General features: G+C 43.6%; 2 protein-coding genes and 1 long non-coding RNA gene across 5 annotated transcripts in view, besides 9 other annotated features; 2 read left to right on the top strand and 1 right to left on the bottom strand.

The window, feature by feature from the left end:
* Nucleotides 1-5,584, top strand: part of PDLIM1 (PDZ and LIM domain 1) — a 53,432-nt gene extending 47,848 nt beyond the window's left edge. Inside the window, exons 6-7 of the mRNA NM_020992.4 lie at nucleotides 4,471-4,588; nucleotides 5,045-5,584. Coding sequence (NP_066272.1) covers nucleotides 4,471-4,588; nucleotides 5,045-5,231 — 305 coding nt within the window. The 3' untranslated portion in view covers nucleotides 5,232-5,584. The remainder of the gene's footprint in view (nucleotides 1-4,470; nucleotides 4,589-5,044) is intronic.
* Nucleotides 615-1,278: an enhancer, noted in NCBI's record as "H3K27ac-H3K4me1 hESC enhancer chr10:97001635-97002298 (GRCh37/hg19 assembly coordinates)". NCBI's record gives its function as "activates a minimal SCP1, AML or CMV promoter by ChIP-STARR-seq in primed H9 embryonic stem cells {active_cell/tissue: H9 hESC(primed)}" and the evidence as "EXISTENCE:reporter gene assay evidence [ECO:0000049][PMID:30033119]".
* Nucleotides 1,279-1,942: an enhancer, noted in NCBI's record as "H3K27ac hESC enhancer chr10:97000971-97001634 (GRCh37/hg19 assembly coordinates)". NCBI's record gives its function as "activates a minimal SCP1, AML or CMV promoter by ChIP-STARR-seq in primed H9 embryonic stem cells {active_cell/tissue: H9 hESC(primed)}" and the evidence as "EXISTENCE:reporter gene assay evidence [ECO:0000049][PMID:30033119]".
* Nucleotides 11,428-11,997: an enhancer, noted in NCBI's record as "OCT4-NANOG-H3K27ac-H3K4me1 hESC enhancer chr10:96990916-96991485 (GRCh37/hg19 assembly coordinates)". NCBI's record gives its function as "activates a minimal SCP1, AML or CMV promoter by ChIP-STARR-seq in naive and primed H9 embryonic stem cells {active_cell/tissue: H9 hESC(naive and primed)}" and the evidence as "EXISTENCE:reporter gene assay evidence [ECO:0000049][PMID:30033119]".
* Nucleotides 11,428-12,566: a biological region, named in NCBI's record as "OCT4-NANOG-H3K27ac-H3K4me1 hESC enhancers GRCh37_chr10:96990347-96990915 and GRCh37_chr10:96990916-96991485".
* Nucleotides 11,830-12,124: an enhancer, noted in NCBI's record as "tiled region #568; HepG2 Activating non-DNase unmatched - State 23:Low, and K562 Activating non-DNase unmatched - State 7:EnhWF". NCBI's record gives its function as "activates a minimal TATA promoter and a strong SV40 promoter by Sharpr-MPRA in HepG2 and K562 cells {active_cell/tissue: HepG2 | K562}" and the evidence as "EXISTENCE:reporter gene assay evidence [ECO:0000049][PMID:27701403]".
* Nucleotides 11,998-12,566: an enhancer, noted in NCBI's record as "OCT4-NANOG-H3K27ac-H3K4me1 hESC enhancer chr10:96990347-96990915 (GRCh37/hg19 assembly coordinates)". NCBI's record gives its function as "activates a minimal SCP1, AML or CMV promoter by ChIP-STARR-seq in naive and primed H9 embryonic stem cells {active_cell/tissue: H9 hESC(naive and primed)}" and the evidence as "EXISTENCE:reporter gene assay evidence [ECO:0000049][PMID:30033119]".
* Nucleotides 12,590-12,884: a silencer, noted in NCBI's record as "tiled region #8644; HepG2 Repressive non-DNase unmatched - State 23:Low, and K562 Repressive non-DNase unmatched - State 23:Low". NCBI's record gives its function as "represses a minimal TATA promoter and a strong SV40 promoter by Sharpr-MPRA in HepG2 and K562 cells {active_cell/tissue: HepG2 | K562}" and the evidence as "EXISTENCE:reporter gene assay evidence [ECO:0000049][PMID:27701403]".
* Nucleotides 13,706-14,275: an enhancer, noted in NCBI's record as "OCT4-NANOG-H3K27ac-H3K4me1 hESC enhancer chr10:96988638-96989207 (GRCh37/hg19 assembly coordinates)". NCBI's record gives its function as "activates a minimal SCP1, AML or CMV promoter by ChIP-STARR-seq in naive H9 embryonic stem cells {active_cell/tissue: H9 hESC(naive)}" and the evidence as "EXISTENCE:reporter gene assay evidence [ECO:0000049][PMID:30033119]".
* The window catches only part of ACSM6 (acyl-CoA synthetase medium chain family member 6), a 34,692-nt gene continuing 26,809 nt past the window's right edge, over nucleotides 14,227-22,109 (bottom strand). For 2 of the 3 annotated variants that reach the window (XM_047424639.1, XM_047424638.1), the window contains one exon: nucleotides 17,504-17,866. In XM_047424639.1, the coding sequence (XP_047280595.1) occupies nucleotides 17,504-17,866 (363 nt within the window). Of the gene's footprint in view, nucleotides 14,513-17,503; nucleotides 17,867-22,109 lie in introns of those variants that run through there. The other variant, NM_207321.3, reaches the window with a different exon arrangement.
* The window catches only part of LOC107984257 (uncharacterized), a 125,247-nt gene continuing 117,515 nt past the window's right edge, over nucleotides 14,378-22,109 (top strand). Inside the window, exons 1-3 of the long non-coding RNA XR_007062253.1 lie at nucleotides 14,378-14,467; nucleotides 14,726-14,818; nucleotides 17,445-17,608. This is a non-coding gene — a long non-coding RNA (uncharacterized LOC107984257). The remainder of the gene's footprint in view (nucleotides 14,468-14,725; nucleotides 14,819-17,444; nucleotides 17,609-22,109) is intronic.
* Nucleotides 15,020-15,761: an enhancer, noted in NCBI's record as "H3K27ac-H3K4me1 hESC enhancer chr10:96987152-96987893 (GRCh37/hg19 assembly coordinates)". NCBI's record gives its function as "activates a minimal SCP1, AML or CMV promoter by ChIP-STARR-seq in naive H9 embryonic stem cells {active_cell/tissue: H9 hESC(naive)}" and the evidence as "EXISTENCE:reporter gene assay evidence [ECO:0000049][PMID:30033119]".

The raw sequence follows: 22,109 nt of genomic DNA, 5'->3' as shown, positions 1-22,109 counted from the left end.
CAAGCTGTGCCCAGTTTTATCCAGGTCAGGTCTCTTCATTCTAGAAAAAGATGTGGATTCTCCTACCTAATGGAGATTTCATGTCCCTCCTGGCTTTTTCTCATTCTACCCTTTTGCAGCCTCTCTTCTTTCCTGGTGATTTTTCTATGGATTGAGTGGATTCCAGGTCTTTAAGTGTGAAATGTGAAAAGCCCATTGCATAAGAGAGCCCGACCTCATTGAGCTGGTTCTCAGCCCAATCAGTGCCTTTGCAAACTGCCCAGGTATGTAGAGATGCTGCCATTTCCTTCTTGTCATGGGCAGGCAGCCAGATGGCTTCATCAGCCAGAAAATGAGGGAATCCGTTTGGGATGCTTGAGGCATGATGCTTAGAGAAGATGCCCACCCAGGCCCTTCTGAGATCCCTCTAGGAAGGGCCAGGATCAGGGTGAGGTGAGGGAGGCACTGCTTTGAGGGCAGAATTTTTTTTTTTTTTTTGAGACCTCTGTCGCCTAGGTTTGGAGTGCAGTGGCGTGATCTCGTCTCACTGCAACCTCCGCCTCCCGGGTTCAAGCCATTCTCCTGCCTCAGCCTCCCAAGTAGCTGGGACTACAGGCACGTCCCACAATGCCCGGCTAGTTTCTGTATTGTTAGTAGAGATGGGGTTTCACCATGTTGGCCAGGCTGGTCTCGAACTCCTGACCTCAAGTGATCTGCCCGCCTTGGTCTTCCAAAGTGCTGGGGATTACAGGCATGAGCCACTGCGCCCGGCCTTGAGTGCAGAATTTAAGGGGGCACTGGAAAACTCAATAATCATGAAAAAAAATGACATTTAAATGCAATATTAAAAAAATTAATACAGGTAAAATATATGGTGAACAAAGTTGGAACTTTGGCCTCCTCCCAAAGGAAGGGAGGAAGGCTTGGGAAGGGCAAGAAGTTGCCCTAGGCTCGGGGAGAACAGAAGCACCAAGGTGGTTTCTCCTTATGCACCTGCTGGTGGGGCAGAACTGAGTCTTCCCCAAGCCCATCTGTAGAGCTCACCACTTAAAACCATGGAGCCTCCTAATCTCAGCCCCATCTCATGTGCTGCCAGGTGGACATCTGTGTGCATCGGTTCCCAGCGATGAATAGTCCCAGCTCTGAGGGGGGAAGCCTAAGTCTGAGCCATGGCAGCATGATAGGGCTATTGAGAGTTCAGGCTGCATTCACATATACCCTCTTGTTGTTCCCCATAAGCCAGCCAAGTACCCCAAACCATCTCTCATATTGTATTATTCAGCAGTGGGTAATCTGTATTTATGAGGGCTACCGGATAGCTGTGGCTCTGCTGGGCTTGGCAGGGCTGGACCAGGCCCCGAGTCCTCTCATTCAAGCCCAGGGAAGGGAGAGGCACTCTGGTGCTTGCTGTTTTCATGGCAGAGGCAATACCTCTGTGGGAACAGGGCCAAACCACACAAGTGCCCTTAGTGCTTTTGCCTGTATAAGGCTCACATCTGCTCACGTTGGCTAAAGTCAGGATGGGGAAGTCTACTCCATCGAGAGCAGGGTTTCTCAGCCTTGGTGCTATTGACATTTTGGGCCATATGAGTCCTTGTTGTGGGGCTGCCCTGTGTATTTTGGGATGTTCAGCAGCATCCCTGACCTCTGCCCACTAGACGCCAGTGGCATCCCCTTTCACTGTGACAATCGAAACTGCTCTCTAGGAGACAAAACTGCCCCCAGTAGGGAACCACTGACTGGAGGTAAGCATGGCAAGAGAGGGGCGGGGTAATTGTGGTCAAAATACAGTCAACCATGTATTCTAAATGCCCCTTGTTGCCAGGCACAGTGGCTACTGGAGAAGCTCTGGTGGGAGGATCGCTGGAGGGCAGGACTTTGAGACACAACATAGCGAGATGCTATCTCTAATCAGTAAAAATAAACAATTAATAAATGTCCATTGTGTGAACATGTGTCTCAATTTTTGGTTCGGAAGGATTGGTCAGCATACAGGGACTCACTTTCTGAAAGAACAAGAGAGCTAAGGCCCTTGTCTGTCAGCCCCGCGATTGCCCGACGTGACTGCAGTCATGGGGTGACCCTCTCTTCATCCCCTCACCTGGCACAGGAAGCTGTTTCTTTGCTCTTGTCCAGTGGTTCTTGGATCAGTGGCGCCTGGGAACTTGTTGGAAATGCAGTCTTAGGCCCCATCCTGGGCCTTCTGGCTCAGAAACTCTGGGGGTGGGGCCCAGCAATCTGTGTGTTAACAAGGCCTCCAGGTGATTTTTACCATTATTAATAGCTACCATGGTACAGGGCTTTGTTACCTAAGATGTGATGAGTGGGGCCTTAGGCAGCTCAGCATCTAGCTACTAGGGGCTTATTTTACACGCACCAGGCTGACTACAGAAAGGCTCCTTCCTCTGCTCTGTAGGAGATGATTGTTATCTGCCTGCTGTAGCATGCTGTATTCTGATGGTTTTGTTCTATCTGTGATGTGGATTTCTTTTCTAAGAACTTTATTTATTTTTAAATTTCCAACATTTAAGTTCAGGGGTACATGTGTAGGATGCACAGGTTTGTTACATAGGTAATGACGTGCCATGGTGGTTTGCTGCACAGATCATCCCATCACCTAGATATTAAGCCCAGCATCCATCAGCCATTCTTCCAGATGTTCTCCTTCCCCCACTCCCCACCATCTGACAGGCCCTAGTGTGTCTTGTCCCTCCACCATGTGTCCATCTGTTCTCATCATTCAGCTCCCACTTACAAGTGAGAATATGTGGTATTTGGTTTTGTGTTCCTGCATTAGTTTGCTGAGGGTAATGGCTTCCAGTTCCATCCATGTCCCTGCAAAGGACAAGATCTCGTTCCTTTTTATGGCTGCATAGTATTCCCTGGTGTATACGTACCACATTTTCTTTATCCAGTCTATCATTGATGGGAATTTAGGTTGATTCCATGTCTTTGCTATCATGAATAGTGAGTGCTGTGATGAACGTAAGAGTGCATGTATTTTCATGATAGAATGATTTATATTCCTTTGGGTATACATCCAGTAATGGGATTGCTGGGCTGAATGGTATTTGTGCTTCTAGGTCTTTGAGGACTCACCACACTGTCTTCCACAATGTTTGAACTAATTTACATCCCAACAGTGTGAAAGCGTTCTTTTTTCTCCACAACCTTGCCAGCATCTGTTGTTTTTTTACTTTTTAATAATAGCCATTCAGACTGGCGTGAGTCGGTATCTCATTGTGGTTTTGATTTGTATTTCTCTAATGATCAGTGATGTCGAGCTTTTTTTCATGTTTGTTGGCCGCATGTATGTCTTTTGAAAACTGTCTGTTCATGTTCTTTGCCCACTTTTTAATGGGGTTATTTTTTTCTTTTATTGAGATGGAGTCTCGCTCTGTTGCCCAGGCTGGAGTGCAGTGGCACAATCTCAGCCCATTGCAACCTCCGCCTCCTGGGTTCAAGTGATTCTCTTGCCTCAGCCTCCTGAGTAGCTGGAACTATAGGTGCATGCCACCACACCTGGCTAATTTTTGTAATTTTAGTAGAGAGGGGGTTTGGCTATGTTGGCCAGGCTATTCTCAAATTCCTGACCTCAGGTGATCCACCCACCTCGGCCTCCCAAAGTGTTGGGATTACAGAAGTGAGCTACTGTGCCCGGCTTATTTTTTTCTTGTAAATTTGTTTTAAGTTCCTTGCAGATGCTGGATATTAGACCTTTGTCAGATGGATAGATTGCAAAAATTTTCTCGCATTCTGTGGGTTGTCTCTTCATTTTGATGATAGTTTCTTTTGCTGTGCAGAAGCTCTTTAGTTTAATTAGATCCCATTTGTCAATTTTTGCTTTTGTTACAATTGCTTTTCGGGTTTTCATCATGAAATCTTTGCCCATGCCCATGTCCTGAATGGTATTGCCTAGATTTTCTTGTAGTGTTTTTATAGTTTTGGGCTTTACATTTAAGTCTTTAATCCATCTTGAGCTGATTTTTATATATGGTGTAAAGAAGGGATCCAGTTTCAATTTTCTGCATATGGCTAGCCAGGTCTCCCAGCACCATTTATTAAATAGGGAATCCTTTCTTCATTGCTTGTTTTTGTCAGGTTTGTCAAAGATCAGATGGTTGTGGGTGTGTGGTCTCGTTTCTGGGTTCTCTGTTCTCTGTTCTTCTACCAGTACCATGTCGTTTTGATTACTGTAGCCTTGTAATATAGTTTGAATTTGGGTGGCATGATGCTTCCAGCTTTATTGTTTTTGCTTAGGATTGTCTTGGCTTTTTGGGCTTTTCTTTGGCCAGGTGTTAATCTCCTATTTTATAGAAAAATAAACTGGGGACCAGAGAGGCTAAGTTACTTGCCCAGGATCACAGAGCAGAGTCACTCCAGTTCCCATGGCCTTGCTTGAACATATATTTATAAGTGGTTCTGAAGAGCTGAGTGATACTTATGCAATTCTGCCCTTCCTGGCCAATGACAGTGTTTTCCTCATTTCAGGGGATCCCAACAAGCCCTCAGGATTCAGAAGTGTTAAAGCTCCTGTCACTAAAGTGGCTGCGTCGATTGGAAATGCTCAGAAGTTGCCTATGTGTGACAAATGTGGCACTGGGATTGTGTGAGTATCTGCTTCCCACAGCCTTTGCAGACCCTGCAGGTTGGGTAAACCATGAAAATGTGGAAAGTGCTGGATGTTGCACATTTTGCTTGTGAGGGAGACAAATCCCTCCTGGAAAAATGCAACAGAGAGGCCAGAAAGGTCCTGTGTCCCAGAGCCAGGTTGTGAAGGTTTTCCTTCACTGCGGAGCCCTTAGGTTATGAACATGTAAAATGAGAAAAATCAGGGCTGCCCTGTTGAAGTAGGAGGGGTTTTTGGAAAAATGTCTCTGGACCCTGGGAAGGAGAAGCAAGTCCCTTATGATTGGAGGCCAGTTGGGAGGCCCTGGTTTCCCCTGTGATGGGTTCCTGGGGAGAAGCCCCAGGCCCCTGCTCAGGAAGGATGGTGCCACCTGCTCAGGTGCCACCTGCAGGTGCTTGTCACTGATGGAGTCCCTTCCCTCCCTTGCTTCTGTAGTGGTGTGTTTGTGAAGCTGCGGGACCGTCACCGCCACCCTGAGTGTTATGTGTGCACTGACTGTGGCACCAACCTGAAACAGAAGGGCCATTTCTTTGTGGAGGATCAAATCTACTGTGAGAAGCATGCCCGGGAGCGAGTCACACCACCTGAGGGTTATGAAGTGGTCACTGTGTTCCCCAAGTGAGCCAGCAGATCTGACCACTGTTCTCCAGCAGGCCTCTGCTGCAGCTTTTTCTCTCAGTGTTCTGGCCCTCTCCTCTCTTGAAAGTTCTCTGCTTACTTTGGTTTTCCCTCTGCTTGTAAAACATTGAGTCCCCTCCCTGCCTTGGTTAATTGACTCACACCAGCTGTGCGATGCCCGCTTTTACAATTAAAGGAAAACTGTTTTGTTCAGTGTCACCTTGTCAGCAACACTGTGTCCCTTCGCCCCACCGTTCTTCTCTGCTGCATTTGGACATCAGCCAAATTTGAACCCAATCAAATATAACGTGTCTGACACTGATTTTGTTTTTACTCAATAAATGTATAGACTACAAAGCAGTGTGGTGTCTGTTATCTGATTATGTGTCCCATTTCCTACTCAAGCCTGATGAGATTTCTGAGGCCTGTCTTCTTGTTTTGGGTTTCTTGTTTCTCTCAGATTTACTGGCCTTTCCCCCGCAACTTGCATCTTAACAAGCTCTGTTCTTACATTTCTTCGAAGCTTGCTTGAAATCCTCTTTCTGTAAAGCTAATATAAGATACCTAGCTCTGTTTTTTTTTTGTTTTTGGAGACGGAGTCTCGCTATGTCGCCCAGGCTGAAGTGCAGTGGCGCTATCTCGGCTCACTGCAAGCTCCACCTCCTGGGTTCACGCCATCCTCCTGCCTCAGCTTCCGGAGTAGCTGGGATTACAGGCACCTGCCACCACGCCCGGCTAATTTTTTTGTATTTTTAGTAGAGACGGGGTTTCACCACATTAGCCAGCATGGTCTTGATCTCCTGACCTCGTGATCCGCCCGCCTTGGCCTCCCAAAGTGCTGGGATTACAGTCGTGAGCCACCGCGCCCGGCCCCTAGCTCTGTTTTAATGAAATCAAGTTTTCTTTGCATTGGGCTGTTCTGAGGCTTATCTGAGGAAATGAATGCTTCCCAAATAATAGGTGGGAGCATTAGCAGTTGGCTTGGAAACATTCCCTAGTAAGTCCCTCTTCAGGCTGGTTGCTGACATCACAGCTGCTCCCCTTCATGAAGGGCAGCAACCTCAGGAAAGTGTCCAGCAGCAGCAGAGAGCCCAGGACATGGCCACTGTGTCCTCCTCACAGAGGAGACTGAGGACCCTGGCTGCTAAGAACGAGTCCTGAGTCAAGATCTGAGGTCACCACAGTTTATCTCCTGGTGACTAATCCCTCATGGGCTCAGTGGTGCCCCCATCCCTCCAGACACTGAGACTAAGTGATTGTTATGAGAGGCGGACAGGGTACTCCAAGCAACCCTCTTTCCTCCAAAGGAGCAACCATCTATTCTTGAGCAGTGCTCACCACCCTTGGTAATAGTTCATGACCTTTCATTATGAATGCACTAACATGGTACATACTCTAATAGTAAGAATTGTAATCAGTACCAGGATTTCATACCACAGACTCTGAAGCCAGAATGTACGATGGACAGTTCATGCACGTGAGCTGTTGTAGTGCCACAACAAGCAGAACTGAAACTGTTCAGGCAGAAAATCATGTCATGTTAAAGCTCTCGATTTCTTTTTTTTATTTTTTGGCAGTTAATGAGTTCTTACTTTAAACCCCATCTGTTTCTACGCTTATAAAAGTCAAGGTGGCTTAAACTATGCAATTCTTAGAAATCAACATAAAATGAAAAGTCTCTGAACCACAGCAGGTCTGACTCATTTACAAAGACATTAACAGTCATGATTTGGATTTTGATTGTAAGGAATAGATGAGTCATGGATACTTAGAACTTTCTCTAATCCCTCTCCTCAGATAATGTGCCAATCAAATGTCTGACATTTGTCAGTATTACTTCTTAGGTGTGGGTCTTTCATACAGATATCTTGCTTCCAGGGGAGGCCAAACACCAACAGCTTCAGGTGACCATTATTACTATTCAATATAGCCTGTATGAGGAGTTCATTTCCTGACTGAATGAAACAGAATGTCAGCATTACCACCCCTAAGTGCCAGTTGTGTTATGTGGCAAAGAAGCCCTTCCCTTTTGCCCCCAGTATTTGGCACATACAAATATTTACTGCTCTGCCGGGCGTGGTGGCCCATGCCTGTAATCCCAGCACTTTGGGAGGCTGAAGTGGGTGGATCACTTGAGGTAAGGAGTTTCAGACCAGCCTGGCCAACATGGTGAAACCCTGTCTCTACTAAAAATACAAAAGTTCGCTGGGCATAGTGGTGCATGCCTGCAGTTCCAGCTACTCTGGAGGCTGAGGCAGGAGAATCACTTGAACCTGGGAGGTAGAGGTTGCAGTGAGCTGAGATTGTGTCACTGCACTCCAGCCTGGGTGACAGAGTGAGACTACGTCTCAAAAAAAAAAAAAAAAAAAAAAAAAAAAATTACTGCTGAGAGCAATTTGAGATTTGGCCTATTTTTTGTGCTTCATGCCTACCATATTTATCTGATTGTTTCTCTTTCATGCTTCCTCTAAAATGAAAAGATTGGAAGGAACAGTCTAACTCTGTAGCCATCTTTAATTACTAAGCTTTCAGAAAATTTCTTGAAGAGGAAAAACTCAGCCAGAGTCATGCAGACTGTGATCAAGCTGTTTTCTCTGACTTGGTATGCTCTTCCTGCACCCCTTGATTACTTTTAACATTTAATAAATTTCTGTTGTCTTTCGAGATTGAGCCACCTCCTCCTCCAGACAGGCTTCCTGACTGCCCAGCATGACTTGGATGCCACTCTCCTATGCTTCCATACCCAGGGGACACCTTCTTGGCATGCATCACACAAGACACTAATCACTCATCTCGTGAAAGGAAAGAAGCCTTGCATGAGAGCTGATCCTTTGTCTTTTTCAGCCTTTTCTCCTCGGCACTCAGCTCAGTACCTTGCTAGTGGCAGATAGTCCACAAGCTTGGTAAATCTGTAAATGGGTGATTGCTGCTTCATCGCTGTCCAATAGAAGTATGATGCAACGCATGAATGTAATTTAAAATTCTCTAGTAGCAATGTGAAAAGACAAAAAAAGCAGGTAAAATTAATTGTAATAATACCTTTTTTTTTTTTTGAGACAGAGTCTAGCTCTGTCGTCCAGGCTGGAGTGCAGTGGCACAATCTTGGCTCACTGCAACCTCCACCTCCCAGGTTCAAGCCATTCGCCTGCCTCAGTCTCCCAAGTAGCTGGGATTACAGGCGCGCACCACCATGCCTAGCTAATTTTTGTATTTTTAGTAGAGAAGGGGTTTCACTGTGTTGGCCAGGCTGGTCTCGAACTCCTGACCTTGTGATCCACTCACCTCGGCCTCCCAAAGTGCTGGGATTACAAGTGTGAGCCACCACGCCCGGCCAGTAATACTTTCTTTTTTATATTTTTTGAGACAAGGTCTTGCTCTGTCACCCAGGCTGGAGTGCAGTGGCACAATCATGGCTTCCTCGACCTCCTGGTCTCAAGTGATCTTCCCACCTCAGTCCCCTGAGTAGTTGGGACTACAGGCACAAGTCGCCGTGCCTGGCTAATTTTTATATTTTTTAATAGAGGTGGGGTTTTGCTATGTTGTCCAGGGTGATCTTGAGCTCCTGGGCTCAAGCGATCAGCCCACCTCAGCCTCCCAGAGTGCTGACATTACAGGTGTGAGCCACCGTGCCCGGCCAATAATACATTTTATATAATACTATATATCCAAAGTATTATCATTTCAACATTTGTCACAAGCCACATTTCAAGTGCTCAGTAGACACATGGGGGTAGTGGCTACTGTATTGGACAACACAACTTTAAACACACCTTAAAACAAAGACATCTTGGATTTCTGTTTCCCTTCAAGGCTGCCAGCTTTGATCTGGCCCAGAGCAGAAAAGTGATCTGCAGCAGGTGCAGGCTATAGTGGAAGTGGCTCTGTGCTTGGTTCATGTGATCTAGGAGACCCTATGATGTCAGAGTTTTCAAGATGGTACACCAGTGGGAGAATAAAAACCCAAGCCCCTTGGGTTCTAGAACAAGACTGCCATCTGCAGTACAGAACTTTATGCTTTTCATAAAATAACTCCTGGCATTCTTCCACAGCTTGGATAGAGACAAAGCCCCTGACCATGGGACATCAGGTGGCAGAACTGCCCATCATGATTTGGGTTCTCTCATTCTCATTAGGTCAGAAGGTCAGGCATCTTCCAGAGCAATCCCTCATGAGATGAGAGGAAGGCTTGAGCAGGGCTGAAGGAAATATGTGAGCTGTAGGGGCATGGAAGCCTGGATACTCATTCTTTCTACTGCTGTGCCCCTCCCTTAGCAATTCCCCATGGCTGATGGGGGATCCCGTATGAGCAGCAGATGGTGGAAGAGGAAGCCCAGACTTGATTCATGGATGAGTTGGCTAGGTATGTAAGGGCATGCTGAAATGGTGGCTGCACTGCTGTACTTCTTGAGCTGGCTTTGTAAGGAGAAAAGAAGTCCTCCCACTGGGCAGAGCTTCCGGTAGTATTCCTAATGATCTACTTTGTGTGGCAAAAGAAGTGGCTTCAGTATAAATGTGCCTGGACTTATGGACAGTGGTGAATGATGTGGTTGGCTGATCAGAGGGTAAAGATGAGAAGATCAGGACAAGGAGGTCTGGAGTAGAGGAATGTGGATAGACCTCTGTTAACCCTCATTAGAATAAACCATGGAAGAGACAGTAAGTGACCAGGTTGACAAAATGAATTAACCAATGGACATGAGCCAGCCTGTTGTTGGGCACCCCTGTGTTGGCGTAATGGGTGCGTGGGTGGGGTATCCATGATTGTCAGAGGCTCTACGTGGTTGCAGTAAGATGGGCTTCTATTTCAAGGCCAATCTAGCTATTGGCTGCCAAATGTTCAACCTTCCAGCAAGAATGACCAACTGAACAGTGCTATCTTTTGAAGACACCAGCTAAGCCACTTGGTGGCAAGCTGACTAGCTTGGATCCCTTCCATTTTGGAAAGTGCAGTGATTTATTTATTCAGTCAGGAATAGACCCATATAGGTATATTGGGTTTGCCTTTGCTGTCCACAGGGCCTCAAACACAACACTTTCTGAGGACACAAAGATCTTTAGATCCACTAGCGCAGGATCCCTCATGGCCTTGTGGGACCAAGGACCCATTTTACTGCAAAGGAGGCACAGCAGTGGGCACATGACCATGGAGTCCAGTGGATCTATCACAATCTGCACCACCCAGAAATGGCCAGCATAAAAGGGTGATGGTATGGCCTGTTGAAGACATAGTTGAAATGCCAGCTTATATACGACCCCTTGTGAGTGTAGAGTGCCATTTTCTAGAACATAGGAACACTCAATCGGTGAAATTTACTTAGTGCTGTGTCCCCAAGAGGTAGACGGTATGAGTACAGGAGCAAGGGGGACAGTAAGAGCATTCCTGCTCAGGATAACTCCTTGTGACCCACTTGGGGAATTAGTGCTCCCCACACGATTATCAATTATGAAAACAAAAACAATTAAAAAATTCTTCCAGCTGATTTTTTTTTTTAAAGCAGGCAGGAAAGAAGGCACCTAGACATCTTATCTAAAAATTTTTTTCCGTGTAAACTTATACGAAGGAATCTGGAGTGGGACTTCATGGGTTCAAATCCTGGCTCCACTTCTTGATCACTGTATGACATGGATAAGTCATGTAATCTCTCTGAACCTCAGTTTACTCATCTGTAGACAAATTAGTAATAACAGGAGATTCACAGCTCAGGTAGAACTCAAAGCACAGGGGTTGTCCCTGATAAACACACACAACTTTTGGCCAGGTGCAGCGGCTCACGCCTGTAATCCCAGCACTTTGGGAGGCCGAGGCAGGCGGATCACCTGAGGTCAGGAGTTCGAGACCAGCCTGGCCAACATGGGCAAACCCTGTCTCTACTTAAAAAAAAAAAAAAAAAAAAAAAGCCGGGCGTGGTGGCGGGCGCTTGTAATCCCAGCCAAGGCAGGGGAATTACTTGAACCCAGGAGGTGGAGGTTGCAGTGAGCTGATATTGCGCCATTACACTCCAGCCTGGGCGACAAAAGCGAGACTCAGTCTCAAAAAGCAAAAACAAAAAAACCACGCAACTTTTATATTTAGCCTTGATGAGTCCTGGAGGTACAATTTCTACCTGGTTAACTGGATACATCTCAACTCTTCCCGTGGTTTCGCCTCTTCCCCAGGCTCGCAGAGAAGACGTTGTCCTCGCAATATTTTTAAAAATACTATGCACCAGTCTGCAGGAAAAGGCGCAGGGGGCGGCGAGGCAACCTAGGCCTGCGTGCCTCTGGCTTTCCTTTTGGAGGAAGCTTTCATGCGCGTCCATGTGAAGAGACCACCAAACAGGCTTTGTGTGAGCAACATGGCTGTTTATTTCACCTGGGTGCAGGCGGGCTGAGTCCGAAAAGAGAGTCAGCGAAGGGAGATAAGGGTGGGGCCATTTTACAGGATTTGGGTAGGTAAAGGAAAATTACAATCAAAGGGGGTTGGTTCTCTGGTGGGCAGGAGTGGGGATCGCAAGGTGCTCAGTAGGGGTGCTTTTTGAGCCAGGATGAGCCAGGAAAAGGACTTTCACAAGGTAATGTCATCAGTTAAGGCAAGGACCGGCCATTTACACTTCTTTTGTGGTGGAATGTCATCAGTTAAGGTGGGGCAGGGCATATTCACTTCTTTTGTGATTCTTCAGTTACTTCAGGCCATCTGGGCTTTTACGTGCAAGTCACAGGGGATGCGATGGCTTGGCTTGGGCTCAGAGGCCTGACAGAAGCGCCCCCTTGGCGAGCACATGCGCGCCTCAAAGGGGATGGAGCTGCGCGTGCGCGGCAGAGTCACAATGGCAGCCAGATTCAGGTGCGGCCATTTGTGTGTCCCCGAGGTTCCTCGCGGGCCGGCATCCCACGCCGAGGGTGGTGGTGGCAGGCTTTCCAGAAAGGCAGCACACCAGGCTCAGCTCTGCTGGCGAGCAGGAGGCGACGGCAGAGGAAACTTCAACCCGATGAACTTCCTGGTTGCGGGGACATTTGCCTCCTCCTGCCACTCACCACCTCTGCTCTGGTCCCTCCCTCCAAGAATCCTCATAGCGTCCTCTCTCCCCACTCTCTCCCATCCCGCGTCTCCCATATTTGCCCCAGCTTGGCTCAGGGCCACAGTTCTGCACTCTTCAGCCGGCGGCGCCACCAGCAGTTGTTTCTACGCGGGAAATAGGGCAACAGCATCCCAGCACAGCTGAGTGCCCAAGGATGGTCAGCCGGGTAGGGCAAGAAGCTTCTTTCAGGGATTCTGATCTCACGGTACGAAGTGGAAAGAACTTTGAGGGTCAAAGGCGTAAACTGAGGGGCTAGTTTGGTTACGGGAACTTAAGATAAATGAATTAACCAGGGGACCCCCGTCCCCATTTTCTCCTCCTACACAGTCTTTAAAATCCAGAGAAGGCGGGGGTCGGGTGGGGGGATGGCCCGTTTTGACTGTTTGGAGTGGTGCAAACTCTTTTGTGACACCTGCTGTGAGAGCTGCTAGGGGGGCTTGGAAATCGCTGCTGCTTGACCACCCGCACACTTAATCCCAAGGGTGAGAGAAAATGCCTAACTTCCCAGGTGCAGCGGTGTTGGGCAAAGGAGGCATTCTTAAATTGGAAACAACCTCAGTCACCATTAACATAAGAATGGATAAATTCTGGGTGTATTCATACAATGGAATTCTGCATAGCAATGAAAAAGAATGGACTGTTGATCCATACAACAACATAAATGAATTGTCCAGACATTATTTTGTGAGAAGACAGACACAAAAGGGTGCAAACTGTATGATTCCATTTATATGAAATTCAGGAACAGGCAGATTTGACCTGCACTTTAGAAGTCAGAATAATTGCTACTTGTGGAGGAGGGTCTCAAAGTACAAATTGAGAGCAGTTAGAGGCAGAGGCAAGCACTTCGTTTACTGCTACTGCAACAAGGAGTGCTCAAAGGAGAGAGACTTCCTGAGCAAAATATAGTTGGGATTGTTTAATTGGGTCAAGGATCAGAGTGGAATAGTGGAGAGAAAGCAAGTTTGCTGACTCACGTCCCAGAAGCAGTGGCATGTAATAGCAATGAGTCCATAAAACCTAGATCTTGATTTCTATTTCTCAACATTCCTGTGATTTTTGTGGTCAGCAAGCTCTGAATCAGGATGACCCATGGTATCTACTTGCCACCATCTGCCCTTGGAATTTGTTGCTCCTTAGAATTTAGTCTCCTTTTCTCAGTCTCTGAAACTGTTATTAGGCATAGAAATTCGTCCAAAATTCATGAAAGAAGTACAGCTTTCACAGAGGTATGAGGACATGAGAGAGCCCAGGAGGCTAAAAATATCCTATATCTTGATCTAGACGGTTACAGGGGTGTGTATGTGTGTAGACATCCATTGGGCTATTTTTCATTCGCATCCGTGTGAAGAGACCACAAAACAGGCTTAGTATGAGCAACAAGGCTGTTTATTTCACCTGGGTGCAGGCGGGCTGAGTCCGAAAAGAGAGTCAGCGAAGGGAGATAGGGGTGGGGCCGTTTTATAGGATTTGGGTAGGTAAAGGAAAAAGGGGGGTTCTCTGGCGGGCAGGAATGGGGGTCACGAGGTGCTCAGTAGGGGAGCTTTTGAGCCAGGATGAGCCAGGAGAAGGAATTTCACAAGATAATGTCATCAGTTAGGGCAGGAACAGGCCATTTTCACTTCTTTTGTGGTAGAATGTCATTAGTTAAGGCAGGAACCGGCCATCTGGATGTGTACGTGCAGGTCACAGGGGATATGATGGCTTAGCTTGGGCTCAGAGGCCTGACAGTATTCATGTAAGATCTGTGTACTTATTGGTCGTGATAAACTAATTTAAAAAATGAATTTTTATATTTAATTGCACAGAAAAATATTTCTGTTACATTGTTGAGTGAAAAAGGCAAGTTACGCTAGAGCATTTCTCCCTGAACTCAATTCTACCAAAAAAAAAAGTTTATGTATAAGAAGAAAGAAGATTAGAAGAATATACTCCACAATATGAGATTATGGATGAGTTTTATTTTTTTATTTTTGGTTGTTTGCATTTTCTAAACTTTAGAAATATAATTCCTACGTATTGGAAGCAGTCCAGAGTCTTCTTCAAACTCCCACAGCCCCAGGCTCAATAGCAATAACCAAAGCATTCACAATCTCTGACCCAATGCATTGGCAACATCATCAACTCTACCAGACCACCAGAAGTAGCCGTCTTCATCCATGATCCCTCTGTCACCTGTGAGGTAAAGCATGTGGCCTCTTGCTGAAGCATATTCCTCCCAGCTCACCTGATAGAATGATGAATCCAGAAACCTACATTTACTTCCCTCTCACAATCATTTAGTGATATGAATTGAGCACTCTGGCTAGCCCCAGGGGAGACTGAGAAAAATAAGTCAGGATCCCCACTCTCCAGGGGATCTCACATAGAAAACTCAACAAACACGGAGAACTTTCCTTGGTCATTTCTCTTAACTTCAGCTTTTTTTTTTTTGTCCCAGCTAGAAACAAGAGTAATGATGGCACTTCACTCAGAGGTTTGTCCTGAGGCTTAAATGAGGCAACATGGACACAGCATTTTAGCACAAGGCCAGGTACAGTATGTGTAAGGAGTGTTGGCTGCTATTTTCTCAGGCTCATCATCCATCAGATGCAATCACTGTTCCCTGTCTTTGAATTGTGCCTTTAATTTTCATACCGCCCCTGACCAAAATTCCATCAGAAAAAGGTGGCTTCAGCTAAAGGTTCTTACACCAGAAGCACAATTAGAGTGATTGGTGAAAATTTCCCTTTGCATGAGATTGGCCCATTTTGCAGGATCGTTCCATGGAGTGTTCACAGATTCTTTTTTTTTTTTTAATTGAAACAGTCTCACTCTGTCACGCAAGTTGGAATGCAGTGGTGTGATGTCGGCTCACTGCCAACATCTGCCACCCAGGTTCAAGTGATTCTCGTGTCTCAGCCTCCCCAGTAGCTGGGATTACAGGCGCCGATCACCAAGCCCGGCTAATTTTTTTTGTATTTTTAGTAGAGATGGGGTTTTGCCATGTTGGCCAGGCTGCTCTCAAACTCCTGACCTCAGGTGATCCGCCTGCCTTGGCCTCCCAAAGTGCTGGGATTACAGGCATGAGCCACCGCGCCCGGCCAGATTCTAACAGCATTTGACTCATTGCCATAGAGACCACGTCACCAATGTGTCCAGATTCTTAGATCTAATGGACAACCTGCTTGTTAGAGTTCTAATAAACTTTGGTGAAAAGCTGTGTAAGCAGCTCATTCTCAAACAGCACAATAATCCCAGTAGGTATGTGAGATATCTGGGTCTCTTCTTTGGAATCTGTCTTATGGGTGAGAACATGATTTTAAAGTCTCAGTGTATTGAAGTTGTGTTATCAGTCTGGAAATATTCAGCATTATTCTCTCACAGAAATTATTAAAATATTTAAAACGTTTTACCTAGGCTTTAACTCAAAAACTCCACGAGAGATACTCAAAGAGGCATTTAAAGAGTTAACAAGGATACTCATTGAAGAAATATTTACAATATAAAACATTGGAAGTAACCAAAATTTTCAACAATAGCAGGTATGTTAAATAGATCATGATAGTTCTCCTTGATAAGATTTTATAAAATTATTAAAAATGTTTTCATATAAGGGCTGGGTGCGGTGGCTGTTGGCATTTTGGGAGGCTGAGGCAGGTGGATCACTTGAAGTCAGGAGTTCCAGACCAACCTGGCCAACATGGTAAAACCCTGTTTCTACTAAAAATACAAAAATTAGCTAGGCGTGGTGGTGAGAGCTGGTAATCCCAGCTACTCATGAGGCTGAGGCAGTAGAATCGCTTGAACCCGGGAGGTGGAGGTTGCAGTGAGCCAAGATTGTGCCACTGCACTCCAGCCTGGGTGACTGAGTGAGACCCTGTTTCAAAAAAAAAAAAAAAAGTTGTCATATAAGATTTACTGATCCCTGAAAATCATAAGTAAAAAAACAGGCTTCACAAAAGCTGATAGAGTACAATCCCACTTTTATAAAACAAGACAAATAAATAGAAAAAGAATGAAGGATATATACACATCAAATGTTAATAGTGGCTAAGAATGGTGGCATTATGAGTTAATATGCTTTTCTTCTTTGGTCTTTTCTGTATTTCTGAAAGTTGTCTATATTGAACACAAGTGAGTTTTATTATCAGGAAAGGCTAAATAAATATTTTAAAAGTAGTTAAAAGAAAGCCTCTCTTTATAGATAAAATGGACTGCTCATCTTTATGGAATAATGCCACCTAATTAATGTATAAGAAATAGCAGTTTGAAAATCACCGTTCTGCACCCTCCATTTTATTTATTTGTTTTTGAGACAGGGTATTGCTCTGTTGCCCAGGCTGGAGCACAGTGGTGCCATCACACCCAGCTCACTACACTCTTGACGTCCTGCTCTCAGTTTATCCTCCCACCTCAGCCTCCTGAGTAGCTGGGACTACAGGTGCATGCCACCATGCCTGGCTAATTTTTGTATTTTTTTTTTGTAGAGATGGAGTTTTGCCATGTTGCCCAGGCTAGTCTTGAACCCCTGGGCTCAAGTGATCTGTCCATCTTAGCTTCCCAAAGTGTTGAGATTACAGGCATGAGCCACTGTGCCCAGCCACTCTTTATTTTAATAATTGTTTCCAAAAAGAAAAGAATCATCTATGGATGCTAAAATGATTGGGTGAAAGTTAATTGGAGAATAGGATATTTACAGAGTCTCAAATTGTTACACGGCAGATTATTACTAATTACAAAGAGGAAAATGTACCTTTACAATGGAAATGGCACTCACCTCCTTAATCAAAAGATCAAAATGATCAGCATCCAAAATGAGACAACCTAATGTTTCCCCCCATAAGCAAATAAGAAATATACATCATCTACATAATAGTCTTGAGAAAGATGTTTATCCTGGATCTCATTATAAAGAAACAATATGTAAGCCTAGAAAGTGAGGCATTTTTTAACACAACCGTCCTCTATTCTTCAAAATGTCCACGTCACGAAAAACATGGTGGTGGAACAGTTATAGATAAAAACAACTAAAGAGATATGAGAACCAAATAAATGCATGAACTTTGATTGAATTCTGGATTTACAAAAGGTATAAAACACATCTGAGTACAATTGAGAAAGTCTAAGTATTGGCTAGATATTAGATAGTATTAAATAATTATTTTTAATTTTCATAGATGTGATGGTGCTGATGTTTAAGAAGAAAGTCCTTATTAGGAGGATGCTGCTGAAATATTTAAGGACAAAGTGTCATAATGTCTGCATTTACTCCCAAATGTCTCATCAAAAATGTGCAAATATGAAGTAAATGGGGCAAAATCTTAATAAGAAGTGAATGTAGGTGAGTGCTACTATTTAACATTTTTGGAGACTCAAAAATTTGCAAAATTAAAAATTGGGACAAAAGTATTTGGCAAATCATAAAGTACTCAACAATAATGGCACTACGATTAGTAGCAACAATGAAAGTATTTAGGAAAGAAGAAAATTTTCTTACCATGTGTGGACAGTACAGAGAAGCAGGTTGGTTTAGTTTTATGCGGATTGCAATATTTCCTTCTTCCCCTGGAGGCAGGAGATTTGAGTTTTCATCCACAATCTGAAATTAGATAATCACTAAAGGAATTTTCCTTACAAACCACTTGTGCTCTTCCTAAAACACCACAAGATCTAAACTTAAGCCTTTCTACCCCCATTTAAGATGCCAGGAAAGTGCTTGGTTGGTGTACTTAGATACTGGGCAACCTAAGAGGCAGTGTGGTTCAGTCGTCAGTGTGAGGGTGCCAGAGCTGGAAATATTTGGGTTTGCATGTCCACTCTGACACCTTCTGACTCTGAGATTCTTGGATACTTCTCTGTACCTCAGTTTCCTCATCTAGAAAATCAGAGATTTAAAGTGCACCTATTATACAGCTTTATTGTGAGGATGAAATAAGACAATACAGGTAAGGGCTCCATTGCCTGGTTAGTACAAAGTTTTAAGAAAGCCAGCATCTCAGAAAGGCCTTTCAAACAAGGACACTTAATTAGCCATCTTATGTATAAGAAAAGAAATATAAAGAACATGAAAATTTAAAAACAGATTTGGCAGTTTTATAACAGTCTAGGAGGTGGTGTTATTTTTTCCTATTAAGAATTAGAGGGCAGGTTAGGAATAAATAAAATACAGTTTGAAAATAATGAGTTATTGGCTGGGCGTGGTGGCTCACGCCTGTAATCCCAGCACTTTGGGAGGCCGAGGTGGGCAGATCACCTGAGGTCGGGAGTTCGAGACCAGCCTGACCAACATGGAGAAACCCTGTCTCTACTAAAAATACAAAATTAGCTGGGCGTGGTGGCGCATGCCTATAATCCCAGCTACTTGGGAGGCTGAGGCAGGAGAATTGCTTGAACCCGGGAGGCCAAGATCATGCCATTGCACCCCAGCCTGGGCAACAAGAGCAAAACTCTGTCTCAAAAAAGAAAATAATGACTTATTTCAGCCGAGTGGCTTCTTTATTGACCTGAAATGGAAGGCATGACCATGAAGTAATGTGACAGGAGTTAAAAAGTACACTGAGATGCTAGCTCAATTTTGAGGGCTACAACCTTCCAAATTGTCACCTTGGAAAGCAATATGCGTACTCATTTTGAATTTATTATCCTTGCTGAATACTTGGAAACTTTTCTATGGAAACTACCAGCCCTAAGGATCAGAGGTCTTCAGGGATAATACATCTTTATACTTTGATGACGAACTTTAGACTTTGGGAAAAGAAGTGGCATTTAGTACTAAGTCTAGTAAATTAGATGAATTATCTAGAGAATACATTTTTAAATGAGATTTAAAAAATTTTATTTTCAATGAGATTGTTCTATTAATTTTATTTTTTGATTGTTTATTGATACTATGTAGAAATACTATTAATAATTTTTTGTATATTGATCTTATTTCCTGCAACTTTGATGACCTCAATTTTTAGCTCTAATAGTGTGTGTGTATTCCTTAGGATTTTCTATATACATGGTCATGTCATGTTGAATAGAGATAGTTTTATTTCTTCTTTTCCAATTGGGATGCTATTTCTTTTTCTTGCCTGATTGCTCTGGATAGAACCTCTATGAAGAGTGAATATTCTCATAAGTCCTGATCTCAGTGGGAGCACTTTCAGTTTTTTACTGTTGAGTCTGATGTGAGCTATGGGGTTTCTGTATGCTCTTTGTCAGGTTGAGAAAGCTCCCTTTCATTGCTAGTTTGTTGAGGGTTGTTACCATAAATAGGTGTTGGTGTTAGATTTTGTCAATGATTTTTCTGTGTCTGTTGAGATGATCATGTGATTTGTGTACTTTGTTTTATGGTGTATTAATTGGTTTTTATAGTTTGAACCAACTTTGTATTTCTGGAATAATTCCACTTGGTTATGGTATATAATCCATTTATATGTTCCTTGTTAGGTTGGCTGGTATTTTGTTGAGATTTTTTGGCACCTATAGTAATCAGAAATATTAATTTATGGTTTTCTTTTCTTGTGATGTCTTTGGTTTTGGTATCAGGATGATCCTGGCTCATACTATGACCCCATTTTGAGACACAGCCTCCAAAATCCTGGTGTTATATGTTTTTGGGGAGAGTTTGTGAAGGATTAATGTTAATGCTTCCTTAAATGTTAGATAGAATTCACCGCAAAGCCATTTGGGCCTGTTTTTCTTTGTGGGAAGTGTGTGTGTGTGTGTGTGTGTGTGTGTGTGTCTGTATGTGTGCGTGTTTTGGATAGGGAGTGTAAGGAATGAAGTTATACTTCATTTGACAAATTAAAAAATATCTCTTTCATCTTCCCCCTTTGTGTGGGTCCTCTTCTCCTTTCTCACCTGAATTAAAAAAATAAACCCTCTAATGAGGTATAGTTGACATGCAAAAAGCTATACATATTTAATGTATACAACTTGATGAGTTTGAAGATAAGTAAACACCCATGGAACTGTCACCACAATCTATGCCATAAACCTATTCATCACCTTCAAAAGTTTCCTCCCACCCTCTTATTATTATTATTATTTTGGTAATAAGAACACTTAATATATCTCCTTAGCAAGATTTTAAGTATGTAATACAGTGTTGTTAACTGTTGGCATTATGCTGTACAGTAGATCTCTAGTAGTTACTGTCTGTGTAGCTGAAATTTTGTACCCCTTGGTGGATACCTTCCTGTTTTCTCCTCTCCACCAGCTCCTGGCAACCACCAATTCACTTTCCAGATCTATGAGTTAGACTTTTTTTTTTTTTTTTTGAGACAGATCTTGCTGTGTCACCCAGGCTGGAGTGCAGTGGTGTGATCTCTGCTCACTACAACCTGCACCTCCCGCGTTCAAGTGATTCTCCTGCCTCAGCCTCCTGAGTAGCTGGGATTACAGTCATATGCCACCATGCCTGGCTAATTTTTTTATTTTTAGTAGAGATGGGGTTTTGCCATGTTGGCCAGGCTGGTCTCGAACTCCTGGCCTCAAGTGATCTGCCCACCTTGGCCTCCCAAAGTGCTGGGATTACGGGTGTAAGCCACCTTGCCCAGCCAAGATTGTTTTCTTAATTTCCTTTTTGATAATTTATTGTAGTGTATAGAAACACAACTGATTTTTGTGTATTGATCTTGTATCCTGAAACTTTGTTAAATTTGTTTATCCTAATTTTTTTGGTTAATCTTTAGACTTTTCTTTATACCATATGTAGAAATATAATTTTCTGCACATCTATAAGATCATGTAATCTGCAAACAGAGATAATCTTACTTCTTCCTTTCTGATTTGAATACTTCTTTTTTCCTTTTATTTTCTACTTACTCTGGCTAGGAATTATAATACTATGTTGGATAGAAGTGGTGAGAATGTGTATCATTTCCTTGTTCCAGATATGAGAGAAAAGCTTTCAGTTTTTGACCATTGAGTATGATGTTAGTTAGCTATGTGCTTTTTATATATGGCCTTTATTGTGTTGAGGTAAGTTCCTTCTCTACCCAATTTCTTGAGAATTTTTATCATCAAAAGGTGTTGAATCTTGTGGAATGCTTTTGCTGTGTCTTTTGAGATTATCATGTCATCTTTGTCCCTCATTCTGGTAGAATGCATCTGTGAAGGCATTTGGTGCTGGGCTTTTCTTTGTTGGAAGGTTTTTGATTACTAATTTAATCTCTTTGTTAGTTATTGGTATGTTCTGACTTTTTAATTCTTTATGATTCAGTCTTGGTAGGTTGTATGTTTTTAGGACTTTATCCATTTTTTCTAAGTGGTCTATTTTGTTGACATATAATTTTTTTCCTTTCTTTTTTTTTGAGATGGAGTTTTGCTCTTGTCACCCAGGCTGGAGTGCAGTGGCATGATCTTGGCTCCCTGCAACCCCCGCCTGCTGAGTTCAAGGGATTCTCCTGCCTCAGCCTGCTGAGTAGCTGAGATTACAGGCATCTGCCATCACACCCGGCTAATTTTTGTATTTTTGTAAAGACGGGGTTTCACCATGTTGGCCAGGATGGTCTTGAACTCTTGACCTCAAGTGATCCACTGGCCTCGGCCTCCGAAAGTGCTGGGATTTCAGGCATGCACCACCACACCTGGCTTTGTTGACATATAATTATTCATAGGGATTCTATAGGGATTCTTCACATTTCTATGGCATGAGTTGGAGTTTCTCCTCTTTCACTTCTGATTTTATTTCTTTGTGTATTTTTCTCATTTGTTTTTCTTAGTTCTAAGGTTTGTTGATTTTGTAGGAAGATTTTTTTTCTAAGAAAATCCTAAGGAACATTTTATTTTTCAATTTCATTTATTTCATTTTTGTTTATACTTTAGTATGCAAGGAACATTTTAATTTTTTC

Source organism: Homo sapiens, chromosome 10 (genome assembly GCF_000001405.40).
Source record: "Homo sapiens chromosome 10, GRCh38.p14 Primary Assembly".
NCBI lineage: Eukaryota > Metazoa > Chordata > Mammalia > Primates > Hominidae > Homo > Homo sapiens.
This window is presented reverse-complemented; position numbering and strand designations above follow the sequence as displayed.